This window comes from Homo sapiens, chromosome 5 (genome assembly GCF_000001405.40).
Source record: "Homo sapiens chromosome 5, GRCh38.p14 Primary Assembly".
NCBI lineage: Eukaryota > Metazoa > Chordata > Mammalia > Primates > Hominidae > Homo > Homo sapiens.
In genome coordinates, this window is record NC_000005.10 from 179,257,618 (window position 1) to 179,271,627 (window position 14,010).

General features: G+C 58.6%; 1 protein-coding gene across 4 annotated transcripts in view, besides 2 other annotated features; it reads right to left on the bottom strand.

Annotated features, from left to right (window-relative positions):
- The window catches only part of ADAMTS2 (ADAM metallopeptidase with thrombospondin type 1 motif 2), a 234,609-nt gene that overhangs the window by 146,765 nt on the left and 73,834 nt on the right, over positions 1-14,010 (bottom strand). Inside the window, exon 1 of one of the 4 annotated variants that reach the window (XM_047417896.1) lies at positions 1,579-11,849. The exons of the other annotated variants lie outside the window; for them this stretch is intronic. The gene's annotated coding sequence lies outside the window, so the exon portion shown is untranslated. Of the gene's footprint in view, positions 1-1,578; positions 11,850-14,010 lie in introns of those variants that run through there. 4 annotated transcript variants of the gene reach the window in all.
- Positions 6,753-7,648: an enhancer, noted in NCBI's record as "H3K27ac-H3K4me1 hESC enhancer chr5:178691371-178692266 (GRCh37/hg19 assembly coordinates)". NCBI's record gives its function as "activates a minimal SCP1, AML or CMV promoter by ChIP-STARR-seq in primed H9 embryonic stem cells {active_cell/tissue: H9 hESC(primed)}" and the evidence as "EXISTENCE:reporter gene assay evidence [ECO:0000049][PMID:30033119]".
- Positions 7,649-8,542: an enhancer, noted in NCBI's record as "H3K27ac-H3K4me1 hESC enhancer chr5:178692267-178693160 (GRCh37/hg19 assembly coordinates)". NCBI's record gives its function as "activates a minimal SCP1, AML or CMV promoter by ChIP-STARR-seq in naive H9 embryonic stem cells {active_cell/tissue: H9 hESC(naive)}" and the evidence as "EXISTENCE:reporter gene assay evidence [ECO:0000049][PMID:30033119]".

Consider the following 14,010-nt stretch of genomic DNA (forward strand, 5'->3'; position numbering starts at 1 on the left):
AACAGGACGACCGCAGGTTTCGCCTCACAGAAACGGAACCGCTGGAAAGGCCTCTCTTGACATTCCCGAAAGGAAAATAAAAATTCCTCTGAAGTACATTTCAACTCCGAGGCAGCCCTGGCCACATCCAAGAAGCTCGGTCCTGAGCGCCGTGGGCTCCAGTGAAGGTCCCCAGCACTGAGGCCGCCTCCTGACCCCCATCCCGGCCACTGCCCCGGGCTGCTCAACCCTTACACGGCTTTCACAAATTTTGAATTAGCTGCCAACAGTTTAAAATGAAGAGATTGTAAGTAAAATCAATTTCCAGCTTCTCTTATAAAATTGGAGGCCCTCCTGCTGCTGGCCGACCCCGTGTCTACCTGGGCCCAGTGATCTCTGCTGGCGTCACCTGCCAGGCCCCCATCAGTGTGCCCATACGAGACCACTGTCCTCAGCGAACGCCTGACCCCCAGGCTCCAGGCAAGGTTGAGAGGACAGATGCTCTCATCCTGGGGGCTCTGGCCTTCCTGGGGCCAGTGTTATCCAGCTCTGCCCTCCAGAGCCCTCTGCACACGCTGGGGCTGGGACTGCCCATGGCTGTGGGCTCTGATTTGGGTGGGCAGACCTGAGCAGGCCATCATGCTTCTTATTCCCAGCCTGACCCCCCCAGACCGCCCCCCGCCAACCCAGACAATGTGTACTGAACTCCTCGTCAACTTGACCCCTGAGCTCCTCCCCGCAGCCCACCAGGTGCTCCTGCTGTGGTTTGGGCAGCACCTAGTCCTTTTTGCCCTGCTGGACGTCGCCTGGCCAGACTTGCAGAGCCATCTCAGCCCTTTGTTCTCCTGACTCCATCCCTCCAAGCCTGGCCACCCCAGCCTCGGCCCCAGCTCCTGCCACGTGAATTGTCAAAGGCAGAGCATGAGGAGGCTGAAGGCAGCCCCCATGGCACACCCCACGGAGTCCCTGCAGTCGTCCAAAAAAGGCTCAAGCCTGGGCAGCATTGCTCGCAGCTAGGAATCTGCAGCTGGACTCAAATATGTGTCCAGAATGATCTGGGAAAGGTCCTTGAGAAAAGGGCCAGACACAGGGACCTTCCCAGGCCCGGATCCCACAGAGGAAATGATTCTAGCGAGCGCCACCTCGACAGGTCTGAGGTCCAGACAGGGGTGGAGCTGTCACAGGCAGCCGGGTGGGGCTGTGATCTGGGTCCTCCCAGCCTCACGGTGATTTGGAATGGGAATACGGTTCTGCCAGGCAAGGAGTATCCCCCTCTGACCAACCTGTGGACTGCCTACCAGGACTCCCAACACCCTTCCTGCACGATGGCGCTGAGGGGCTGATCCGGCCGCTGCTCTCATTCCCATGGCCACCTGATCCAGGCCGCAGTCTCTCCCTGCACACAGGACAGCAGCCTCCTGCCGGCTCCCTGCCTCTTCCGTGCTCACCCTCCTCGGAAACCAGACCATGCCACCTGCTGCATGGCACAGCCCCTCCTCCACGACGGAGCCCACAGAAGCCATCGTGATCTGACCTCCAGTCCCCTCAGGCCCTCACCCTGCCCCTCCTGCCACACCCCCAAACAAGCCCCGTCCTCACCCCTCAGGTACTTCGCATCTGCTGCCCTGGCCCCTTTTCCTCCTGGGGAACTGCAACCCACACTCCAGGCCTCAGCCCAACGTCCAGTGACTGCGGGCTCACTCTGTGGCACTTCCCAAGTCTTTCATTGTGCAGGTATTTGTGGACTGACTAGTGCACTGTGGGCTGTATGAGGTCAGGGCTGTGCCTGTCTGGTCCCAGAGCCTGGCCCAGTGCCCGGTCCTGCTGTGCGTGCCGGGTAAAGATCTGTTGGATGAATCAAGGGAGAGAGGAAGGGGAGCAGCCCTGGGATTCCACAGGTGCTTTATGTCCAGAGACAACCGCGCAGGGAACAGTGGCCAAGGCACGCTGGGAGCAGTGCTCCAGCCCGACGGCATCCCCAGGGCAGAGGCTGGGATTCACGCATTGCTGCCCTCAGGCACCAAACAGGCCTGTGGCAGTCACAGGGGCACATTCCTGATACCGGGTCTGTCGTTCCAGCATGGACAGGGCCATCTTCCTCGCCATCTGCAGTCTGGCATCAGACATTCCCAAATAAAGGACAGACAGTTAACTGTCAGAAAGTGCTGGTGCTTGGGCCTGGAAGGAAGGGAGCCCGTGTCTACTGGGCACCCCCAATTTTGGCCACTGTGCAGTGCCCTGTGTCCTCAACCTCGGGGCCTGGACCACAGCTCCATGAGACCACAGGGAGGAAGCAGAGTCACAGAAGAAAGAGTGATGAACAGCACTGGCCACTTGATTTGCAGGGCACAGTGCAAAATGGAAACGCACAGTCCCTTGTTCAAAAAGTGATTACGACTTCTAAGGCAGGAATGACAGAGTGTTAAAGTGGGCATAGGGCCCTGCCGGATGGGTCACAAGCCGGCGAAGTCAGTCCTGCTCAAGTGTGAGGAAGTGGGACTAGCAAAGGCCCAGGGCCACCCAATGTCCCATGGGCCCATGGGACCAGTAGCCACCCACAGCTGCCAACCTGAGTCTGCAGCCCTGACACTGTGGCAACAACAGGAGGCGTCAGTGCCAAGCCCTCCAATGCCTGCAGGGAGCAACTGTTGCTCCCGGAGTGAGCTCCTGGGCGACCGGGCTTCCTAGGCACTATGCTTATTCTTTCTTTTCACGGATATTTACGCACCAACCGTGTGCCAGGCATTCCTCAAAATGCTGCAAATTCCACTGTAAGCAAAAGATTCTCCCCGAAGCTAACGTGCTAAGTGACCTGGAGACACATCCTCACTCACCCTCGCTGGGCCCCAGTTTCTGCAGCCGTTAAGTGGAGTTCCAGGCCTTGGTGCTTGGAAGGCCCTCTGTCCAACAAACAGATGGGGTCACAGGCTACCGGGTTTTGCCAGCCCAGGCTCTGAGCGGGGACAGGAGGGCACTGCACTGGGTGTCAGCAGCCCTGGGTTCTAAGCCTGCTCCTCCCTCCTGATGCAGGAGTCAAAAGGCCTGGCTCCCACTGTTTCTACAGCTTACTATCTGTGCGACCGTCGGCACCTCAGTTTCCTCATCTGTAACGTGGGCACAGCAAAAGCACCAACCCACCGTGGGGCTCATTACAAGAATCCTAGGAGATGATGTACCTGCAGCGTGCTGGCAGACGCGGTCAACGGTAAGTGCTCCAGGAACGCGTCACGTTCTTCTTGCTCCCTGCTGTTCCCGCTACTGCTTGGACAGTGGTAGCCCTGCACCTTAGTTTTCTCTCTGCTTCCAGGACTACCGTGCCTATTAAATGACACCATGAAGAGTGCCCACCTTCGCGCAGGCCCTCGGTGAATGGGCATGTCCTTGAACGCAAACTTGGCTCCAACGGGGCAGGAGAAGGATCATTCAGACTCAGCTACAGAAAAACAGACTTTTGTGCAACTAACGCTAACAAAACTGGAAAGGAAAGAGGAACTACGGCCTGGGGAAAAGCTTGTATCGAACATGACAGAAAGTCAATATCTAAAAAGAGATAAAGGGCTTATCCCAATATATAAGACCCCAGGAGATAAACAGGCAAAGGACTTAGGAATAGGAGACATGCAGAGTAATCAAACCCAGGGAAGATCACTCATCCTCGCCAGTAACCAAAGAAGCGCAAATTAGCGCAAAAAGCAACGCCGCTTTGCTGCCGGAGCAGCAAAATATTAAACACTAAAGCCCCCGTGCTGGTGAGGATTTGGAGAAACCAGGAGCTGCTGTGGGAGCCAGTCTGGCTCTGCCCCGAGTGGTGAGTCTGTTAAGCGCTGGGATTTCCTAATTCATTTAGTCACTCAGTAGGTGCCCCCTGATGGCTGCTCAGGGCCAGGGCTCGAGCGCGTCTGGGCTGGCTCAGGCCGCCATCTGCCGGGTCAGCAACAGATACCTATTTGCAGGAACAGAACCTGAGGTCAGCTCCCAGGATGTCCCCACCCCTGAGTTTCAAGAGAGTTTGCACCAGGAGCAGGGAGCATTCCAGCTGTCTCGGGCAGCTTTTGTGTGGGGAACAGCTGGTAGCGCTGCCTGCGGCCCCTTGGGGTGGACAGGAAGGCTCTGCCTGCAAAGGCCTAGAGGCAGCCACACACCCTGCCCTGCACACTCCTAAGTACGTGCAGGCCACAGTTCCTGCATCCATTCATCCCGGCCAGTCTGGGGTCCCTCCCCACAGTGGCAGGCAAGGGGAAGCTGGACCGGTCCTGCTAGACAAACAAGGATGCACACACGTCCATGGGACCCCAAACCTCACACTGTCCCTGACAGCCCGCCCCACAGAGCACAGCCTCTGCCTCCCGGAGCAAGAGGAGGTGGCAGTGCATCCCAGGGCCTGGCTGCCTGTGGGGCTGCATTGGGGGCTCCTGCCCCCGCCCCGTGAGTCTGGGAACACATGGGTCTTGGCCTTGGCACCTTCTTTCCTGGGAAAACACCTCCCTCTGGGCCAGGGCAGTGCAGAGCAGTGGAAGCGGGCAGCTGTGGAGTCAGAGTGATGGGTGCCAATTCTGACTCCTGCACGTGGCCCAGACCACCTAACCTGCCACCCCCACCAGCACACCTGCCCGGCCACCCCCACCAGCACACCTGCCCGGCCAGCCTCAGGCCACCAGCCAGCCTCCCAGCCACGTGACCTCTCAGGGGCAGGATGTGTCCTTGATTCCTTCCTTCACACCACGTCCCGGAAGCTCCACCTCAAACTCATCCTGAACCCACTGCCTCCACCGCCATCTGTCACCGGGACTCCTCCCTGCTTCCACACCGTCCACCGAAAACCCTCCAAAGGCCTCCACCGCACAGGGAATGAATTCTCACCCCGTACCGTGACCGTCCCTTCAAAGCGATGAGTGCCACCCATCCCTCCCGGCCCTGCACGCCTCCCACTCCCCCATTACGTCCTCAGTTCCAGGTACTAGCTCTTCCTTCTGCCCCTTGGTCACGCTGCGGTAACTCCAGCCTCAGGGCTCCTGCATGTGCTGTTCCCTCTGCCTGGAACACCCTTCCCAGGGCTGGGCTTTCCCATCATCACCAACCTGGGGCGCCTCCCTCCCTTACCTGCCTTCTCACGCTGCCCTTTCACCCCGTTTTACTTTGTTCACAGGATTCTCCACTGTCTGCGAGCATCTGCTCACCAGGTCTCCCCTGCGGGGCTGTGAGCCCAGAGAACAGGGACTCGATCGGGTTCCTCCGCTGCTACAGCCCCAGCACCCAGTCCTGTCAGACACATGGTGGACACATAGCAAGAACGTGACGAGTGAATGCAGGAAAATACACTTGTGGCAGCAGGCAAGGTGCCCTCTCTGAGCCTCAGTCTCCCCCTAAGCAGTAGAGCTGCTAATGCTATTATTCCCCCATGATTTGGGGAGCAGTATTATTCCCCCATGATTTGGGGAGCAGTATTATTCCCCCATGATTTGGGGAGCAGCATTATTCCCCCATGATTTGGGGAGCAGCATTATTCCCCCATGATTTGGGGAGCAGCATTATTCCCCCATGATTTGGGGAGCAGCATTATTCCCCCATGATTTGGGGAGCAGCATTATTCCCCCATGATTTGGGGAGCAGCATTATTCCCCCATGATTTGGGGAGCAGCATTATTCCCCCATGATTTGGGGAGCAGCATTATTCCCCCATGATTTGGGGAGCAGCATTATTCCCCCATGATTTGGGGAGCAGTATTATTCCCCCATGATTTGGGGAGCAGCATTATTCCCCCATGATTTGGGGAGCAGCATTATTCCCCCATGATTTGGGGAGCAGCATTATTATTGAGCATTAATGAACCCGCATGGCATTCAGGTGCCCGGCCTTTTCCCAACCAGACCAGCGCACCAGCCACCTCTCCACACAGGCCCAGTGCCCAGGTCACCTCCTGTCCTGTCCTGCAGGCTCTCTCTGGGTGTGCCGACAGTTTGGGATGGGAGGCGTGGGAGGCGTGAGCTGCGCTCCTGGCCGGGTTCTCTACCAGCTGTGCTCGTGGCGCAGCCCACACCTCACGGCAAGCCCCAGCCAAAGGGACCAAGTCAAGAGCTCTGAGAGACATCCCAGCCGAAGAATCCAGCCCTTGTCCCAAACGTGTGTGTGCACAGGCACACGAAAGAAGGTGAGACAGAAGGAGAGAAAAATGAAGCCAGAGAGCAGGAGAGAGAGAAGACAGACGCCAGCACGCCCATCTGACTGCGCGACCTTTCCCCGCTCAGAGCTCCTTCAGGGCCCAGAGCACAGCGCTGCCTAGGATTAATTTCAAAGAGAAACGGGTCAAAGAAAATTGGAAATTTTTATAGAAAATATTTCAGGCTTGGAGCTGGCTGAAGTGTCTGCCAACCTGCAGAGAATTCTGAGAGGAGATGGGGCCTGTGGTCAGAGGCCTCCGGCTGGCACAAACTGGCAGAGTTTGGACCTCGGACCCAAATGCAGTTTCTGAGCCAGGCCTGTCCTCGCTGCTGCTGGGGAAGAGCTTCCTGTCCCCTTCAGATGTCCCTACAGCTGCCTCTGCAGCCCTGATGCTGGTACCCAACGCCTCTCACCTGTCGCCCCACCCCTCTCTATCCCCAAGAGGCCTCTGTCTAGGGACCCACTATGGGATGCAGTCCCTTTGTCCCCATTATGCAGGGTGCCCATGTCTCTTTCACCGTCATCCATGGGGCAGCCAGGGCATGAAGGAAGCCTCACCTGGGTCCCAAGCAGGTCCCACTGCTCCTTGCCCAAACTTCACCCCAGCCAGCAGGCTCCTACATCCAAGGCACAGATGTCACAGACATGAAAAGATGCCCTGGACACATGCCTCTCTCCCAGAAGCCTGCCTCTGCCATGCTGGGGACCTGAAAAGAGGGGGCATGCCCAGCCCACAGTTGCTGATCAAACGCCAGATGCCCCCGTGAGCAGATCACAGCTTCACCCCTGAGCCGTGTACTGTCTGCATGCCAGGGACTGTTACCTTGTGCAAAACCCGAAAAGCTCTTTGGAGGACATTCCCAACACAGATCCAAGGGAAGGAAAGAAAGTATCAATTCACTGTGTCTGTGGAAGATGGCGAGGCAGAGGAGGGAAAGGGGACGGAGAGCAAGTGTCGCAGTGAGCACTGGGCAGGCGCCCTGTGCCCTGCGTAATTCCAGCAGCCCCTGTGCCACTGCACCCAGGTACAGTGGAGATCTCAGCACCCAGGTTCTGAGATCCTGAGGGGCTGGGTGAGCTGCTCTGGGCCCCTTAGTGAGCCAGAACAACAGCATGTCGGGTGGAGCTGAGCACACTGACCCCTGCACCAACAGCAGCATGCTGGGCGGAGCTGAGCGCGCTGACCCCTGCACCAGCGCTGACCCCTGCACCAACAGCAGCATGCCGGGCGGGGCTGAGCACACTGACCCCTGCACCAACAGCAGCATGCCGGGTGGGGCTGAGCACACTGAACCCTGCACCAAACTGCCCGCTGCCCACCCCACTCACCCACCTAGTGCTGGAAGCATCTGTGGGAGCAGCCCTAATGCAGCTCCTCAGAACCACTGGCCGGTCTTCCAGAACTGTCCCCTGCACTCGAGTTGGGGCTGCAGCCAAGCCAGGGCCAAGGCCACCATCCTCCGGGTCAGGCTTGTCACCTGCCCACGGTGCTCCACCAAAGATCCAGGCCCTTGCCAGCCACATTTACCTGGTCGGCTCCACCCCTGAACCAGAAACCATGTCGGGAGGGGAGAGGTGGCGGGGGAAGGGCAAGCCTGAGACTCAGGGACTAAATTTATGTCGGAGGCACAGGGGAGTTGCTGCGCACGTGGGGGCTGTCAGGCGGAGTGCCAGGCCCAGACGCCGTGGAGGGGGAGCACACCCTGGCACGTCTCCACTGTGGAATAAGGGGGGCCCAGCCCTCGCTGGGGCTGCAAGCCTCGCTTCTGCCTTCACAGCCCAGGGGGTGGGAAGCACCCACAGGGCAGCGCTCTGAGCAGCAGACTCCAGCCAGAGAGCCAGCCAGGCCCGGGAGCTGGCCCCTCCTGCTCTCCCCGGCTGACCCCAGGCAACTCCAGCCTCGGAGAATGTGCAGCCTCGGCTTTCCCAGCGCCGGCCCCCGCCCACCCCTTCCGCGTGGGCCACATCACCGCGCTGGCATCTCCAACAGCCATCCCAAGGGCCCGGTCTGCACGAGGACAGGAGCGCCGCGGCGTCTGCCAAGGGTGCGCTCAGCCCTGAAGCACGCCTCCCGGAGCCGCCTCGGGTTTCACAATCAGTGCTTCTCCCTGGGTTTCCCGGGGCCTGGGCTGCAGGCTCAGCTCCAGGGTGGAAAGAGAGGATGAGCTGAGAAGACTCCAGGGATCCAGCGCCGAGGCGCTGAACTCAGTGAGTCGGCAACAGTGGCTTGGCAGGGCCCAGGCTGACCAGGGTATGAGAGAGAGCACCTATCACCACGCCAGAGGCCCTGGCCTCAGGGGTCTGGGGAGTCACTTGGGAAGTGCCCGGTTGGAGACACAGAGACAGGTCTGGGCACAAGACGCTGGCCAGGTCCAGGGCTCACCCTGCAAATCCAGCCAAAGCCCTCTCTCCATTCTCCCTTAGGACCCAAGGTTCAACACTTAGACATGTCAGCTGAATCATGACCCCCGGACGTCCATGTCCTAATCCCCCAAAACTCGTGAGCATTACCTTATATGGCAGAAGAGACTTTGCAAATGTGTTTAAATCAGGGGTCTTGAGATGGGGAAAGTAACCTGGATGGTCCCAGCGGGCCCTAAATGTTATCACAAGTGTCCTTCTAAGAGGGAGAGCTGGCTATAGAAGAGGAGAAGCCACGTGACCAGGGAGGCAGAGACTGCAGCAATGTTGCCACAAGCCAAGGAACGCCAACAGCCCCCAGGAGCTGGGAGGGGCCAGGAATGGATTCTGCCCTGGGGCCTCCCGAAGGAACCAGCCCTGCCAGCACCTTGATCTTAGCCCCTAAAATCCTATTTCAGAGTTCTGAGCTCCCGAACTGTGAGGAATGCAGGTGTGCTGTTTTAAGCCATTAAGGTGTGGGTAACCTGGTACAGCAGCCACAGGAAGCTGAGATGGACGTCGACAGCTACAGGGCAGAAAGGCTCTCTGACCTGGCATTCAGCAAATTGGCACCCCCCAACAAAGCACACGGCCCTCCTGCCCCATCCTGGGCCCCCCAGCCCCCACCTGGGCCAAGCCTCACATCCGCTGTGTCAGTGGGGCTGGCTATCTGCTCGCCACTGAATGGATGAGTCTCGCCTGCTCCCCAGTCCTGTGGTCTGACAGAACAGAGCTCCTCTCTCTCTCCTGTGCCATTGCTCCAGCCTCCCCCACCAGCCTCCCTCACACTGCAACCAGTACGAGCTTGCTGAAACACTCAACTCTTTGTGAGACTGGAGGGCGCCATCCCCACCTTGGGTCATTCAAGGCTGCTGCTTCCATGGAGGCTGCCCCACAGCTCTCTGCCTCCAGCCCTGGGCTCTGCACACCCAGGGGGAACTGTCATGCCTGAGGTCCGCCCCCACCCCCGCCGCCCACTCTTCCCCCAGGATCCCCTGCGGCCTGGAAAACTCCTACCCAACTCAAGGCAAAGTCACAGGGTGGAGACTGTGGGTCAGGAGGGGCTCTTCCTGGCCTGGTGGGGAAGGGCTGGCTGTGGGCTGCAGGTGGCAGCCACGCTCAGCCACATGGAGGAGCTGCCCAGTGCCGGCGCTTGTCCTCTGTCTCCTGGAGGGCCTTCCTTGGTGCAGCGAGGCTGAGAGGCTCCCGTGGTGGCGTGCCTCGTCTGCCCGTCAGGGAGGATGCTGCAGCCTGACAGCAGCAGGCAGAGGCTTGGCACCGGCGGTGTCTGGGGTGGAGGCAGCCAAGGTCACTGGCACGTTGCTGTCTGACTTCTCTTCCTTCAGCCCAGCAGGGTGTGTGCACAGCAGCCTGGTAGCAGTTCCCCAGGATGGGAAGCACCTGCCCCTCCTCTGTCCCAAGGCCAGGCCGGGGCGAGCCCCAGGAGAGCAGCCCACAGAGGAGGGCAGAAGATGCTTCTACCTCTGCATCACAGAAAGCATGGGTAGCCAATGGGGGACCGTGTTTTGTTTGGTCTATATAGTGAGCACGGGAGGGGACCCCAGGCATGACAGCTCCCACTGGGTGTGCAGGGCCCAGGGCTGGAGGCAGAGAGCTGATGTGGAGGCTTCTGTGGAAAGAGGGCTTTGTCTGGATTTGCTGGCTGAGCCCTGGACCTGGCCAGCGTCCTTGTGCCAGGACCTGTCTCTGTGTCTCCAACCAGGCACTTCCTGAGTGACTCCCCAGACCCCTGAGGCCTGGTCCTTTCGCATGGTGATAGGGGCTGTCTCTCGTACCCGGGTCGGCCTGGGCCCTGCCAAGCCAGCTGTTGCCGACTCACTGAGCTCAGCGCCGTGGCTGGATTCCTGGAGCCTTCTCAGTTCATCCTCTCATTCCAGAAATTTTAAGCCACATTTTAACATCAGGAAAGTTCACATAAAAAGTCTGATGTCTGGATTTTCTTGATAGGATGTTCAGCTGCACCAGACCCAACTTCTACCAAATTGAGGTCAAGGGAGTTGAGGAGGGTCTGTCCCTCCTTGCAGGGCCTCCCAGACGCCCTGTGCCCATGGCAAGGCCAGGGCTGGACACCACGTGTGGCTGCATTCCCACTGCTGTTTCTTTTTAGTGGAGATGTATTCTTGGTCTCCACGTTTCCATCAAAAGGAGAGAAATGAAAGCCAGGCCAAGGGTGGGTGCAATTATCTTTTTTTCCTCCACTGCTGTCCTTGTTGGCATTGCCTGCCAGGCCCTGCAGGCTCTGAGTTTGCAGCTCTTGTCTTTCTGCAAATGGCACTGTGTGTCTGAAACAGAGACCACATGCTCAACACGTGACTCGGGGTCTTTCTCACTGTGTGGCAACCTTCACAGAGTCCCAAGGTCAGTCTCTGGGAAGCTAAGACAGGCCCTCAGTGTCAGCACAGGGTTGGCTTCTCTGTGCACGTGGTCTTGGAGTCAGCCGCTCCAGGTCCCTTAACGCGGGCGGTGGGGGAGGACTGCCAGGCTGAGACTGGCACTTAGACATGCAGGGAAGAGCTCCCACACGACAGGGTGGAGGGTCCAGTGAGGGAGGCAGCAGGACCAGGGCCTGCCTGGGCTGTGCCTCTGGGCTATATGCCCTGGGGAGGCCTAAGTGAAGCCTACAGTGCTGCTCCTCCGCGTGACCCAGACGGGCGCCTCCCGGGTGTGCTGTGCACTGCGTGGCCAGCCTTGTACGTGAGGGCCATTCACATCCTGTAGCTGGCTGCATGGTGCCCCCAAAGATGCTGGATCCTGATCCCTGCAACCTGAGACGGGTACCTTCTATGGGAAGAAAGGGCTTTGCAGATGTGCTTGCAGTAAGGCTCTTGAGATGAGAAGCCTGTCCTGGATTACTCGGGTGAGTCCTAAATGTAATCAAGGCATCCTTGCAAGAGGGAAGCACAGGGACACGTCAGAAGAGGAGGGGGCGACATGACCCGGGGGCAGAGATTGGCATGATGCAGCCACAAGCCAAGGGAGGCTGGCAGCCCCCAGGAGCGGGGATGGGCCAGAAACAGATTCTCCCCTGGAGCCTCTGGAGGGAGCACAGCCCTGTCCACCCTTGATCTTGGCTCAGTGAGATTCATTTCAGACTTCTGGCCCACAGAGCTGTGAGAGAGGCATTTGTATTAGTCCGTTTTCACAATGCTGATAAAGACATACCCGAGACTGGGCAACTTACAAAAGAAAGAGGTTTATTGGACTTACAGTTCCACATGGCTGGGGAGGCCTCACAATCATGGCAGAAGATGAAAGGCACGTCTCACATGGCAGCAGCCGAGAGAGAGAGAGCTTGTGCAGGGCAACTCCCGTTTTTAAAACCCTCAGATCTCGTGAGACCCACTCACCATCATGAGAACAGCATGGGAAAGACCCACCCCCATGATTCAATCATCTCTCACTGGGTCCCTCCCATAACACATGGGAATTATGGGAGCTACAAGATGAGATTCAGGTGGAGACACAGAGACAAACCATATCAATGTTCCTATTGTTTCAAGCTCCGTGAGGACTCCCTCCTCAACAGTCCCACACAGGATGAGATGCACACACACCAGAGAGGACAATGCCACAGGGTGCCCTGTCCCTGTACCCCAGCACAGTGTCCCTGGACACAGAGCTGGCCTTGGGAAGGGCAGAGAACAGGGATTGGAGATGCCTGTCAGAATGCCTGGGGGGACACCTCAACCACTGCTCCCCAAAAGGCCACCCAGCCTCAGAGCTCGGCCTCCGGTCCTGGCCAGGTTCCCAGGCCAGCAGCACTGAGCAGGACCCTTCTGCCAAGGCCAGCATGGCCAGGGAGGAGAGAAAAGGACCCTCCCCGCTCCCTCACCCCTTGCCCCTCCTAATAACATCCTCTCCCGGGTGTTGCCTAAGCTGCCCAGTGCACACACTCATCCCTGGCCTGTCTGTGAAATGCTTTAAAACCGTCATTTTCTATCCGTTTCCCCCAGGCAATCTGCAATCCAGCAACTGATCTTGGATGACAGAGACTATTAGTGAAAATGATTCCCTGAGGCTCCATGAGTCCCCGAGATCACCCTGAGCAGCCCGTGGGCTTCTCGGGGAAAACAGGACATCCTGAAAAGGAGGCACCCCTGACGCTGCAGGGATATCCTGCCACCCAGACAGATGCCCATCCCCCACTGGGACACCCAGGGCAGGTGTGTCACCTTCCCCGGCAGAACATAAATAGCAGGGTGCTTCACACCCACTTCCAGACGTTGCTTTTGGGGAGGCAGGAAGAAACTGCCAGCCAGCACCTCCTGCCAGCTTCTGCCAGGGCCACACTGATATATCAGGGTTCCCTCAGAATTCACTGGAAGAAAGGGTCCCCTATACACACACACACATACACACACACCCGCACCCAGGTCCTGGAGTTGTGTGCCAGGCAGGCTGTGCCCCTCACTATGCCTGGCCACAGGACACAGCTTTTATGTATCTCCCAGTTGCCACTCTGGGCCCTGAAAAGGCCCAGGCAGATGGAAAGCTGGACGCCTGAGGTCACCGTGGGCCCTCCACCCAGCTCCGGCACTCACTGGGCCTGGTGCCCTTCCAGTCAGTGTGTCGATCTCAGCCCAGGGCCACGTGGGAACGATTAGGTGCATGGCGTGGGAGCTAGCTCACTGAAGGCCCGAGCCCCTCATGCAGGGTCTGCTGACACCAGACAGGAACATCAAGCAAAGGGGACTTGGCCCCAGCCCCAAGTTCTGGGATCCAGACCTATAGCCCCAGGCCCACGCTCACATCCACAGCCTGGGCCCCAGGCCTGGAGCTAAGGCTGGACAGGCTCACCTCCTCCCCGACAGCCCATTACCAAACCCCCACCTTCCAGCCCAGCCTCACCCCTGACCTGGCAGCTGGCCTCACCCAGCGTCTTCTAAGGCCAATGGTTTCTGGGCTTATTCTGAGATTGAAATTCCTTTCCTGTGTTCTGAATTTCAAGTTCTCATTAAAGATATGTGGATTGGGGGTGGGGGTGGAGGGAGGATTCAGCAGAAGATGCCAAACACCAGCAGAAGCCCAGAAAATAAGGCAAGGCCGGCCAGGCTGTGGGGGAAGGGCTGCCATGTTCAGGAAGACAAGCACCATATGGAATCTGGGATCAGAGACATGGCCAAGGGCACGTGGCCAGCTCACCTCGCCTGAGCAGAGGCCCCCAGAACCACCCTGAATCTTCCAGGAGAGGCCAGCCAGAAGCACCAAGCCCACAGCACAAGTGACCAGCCCCTGAGCTCTCGGGGACACAGGGGTTGCTAATGCCACTGGGCTTGCCCGACAGCAGCTAGCTAGCAAGGAGCAAAGCTGGGGCCCTGCCCCCGGGTCTGGAGCACTCGCTCAGCCCCTTCCACGCTGGCCCTCCTAGATTACTCCTCCTTCCTTCCCTGCAAAATAGTCCAAGGGTGGGGATAAGTCGAGGCTGAGACCACAGCTGGAAAAGGCTGGGC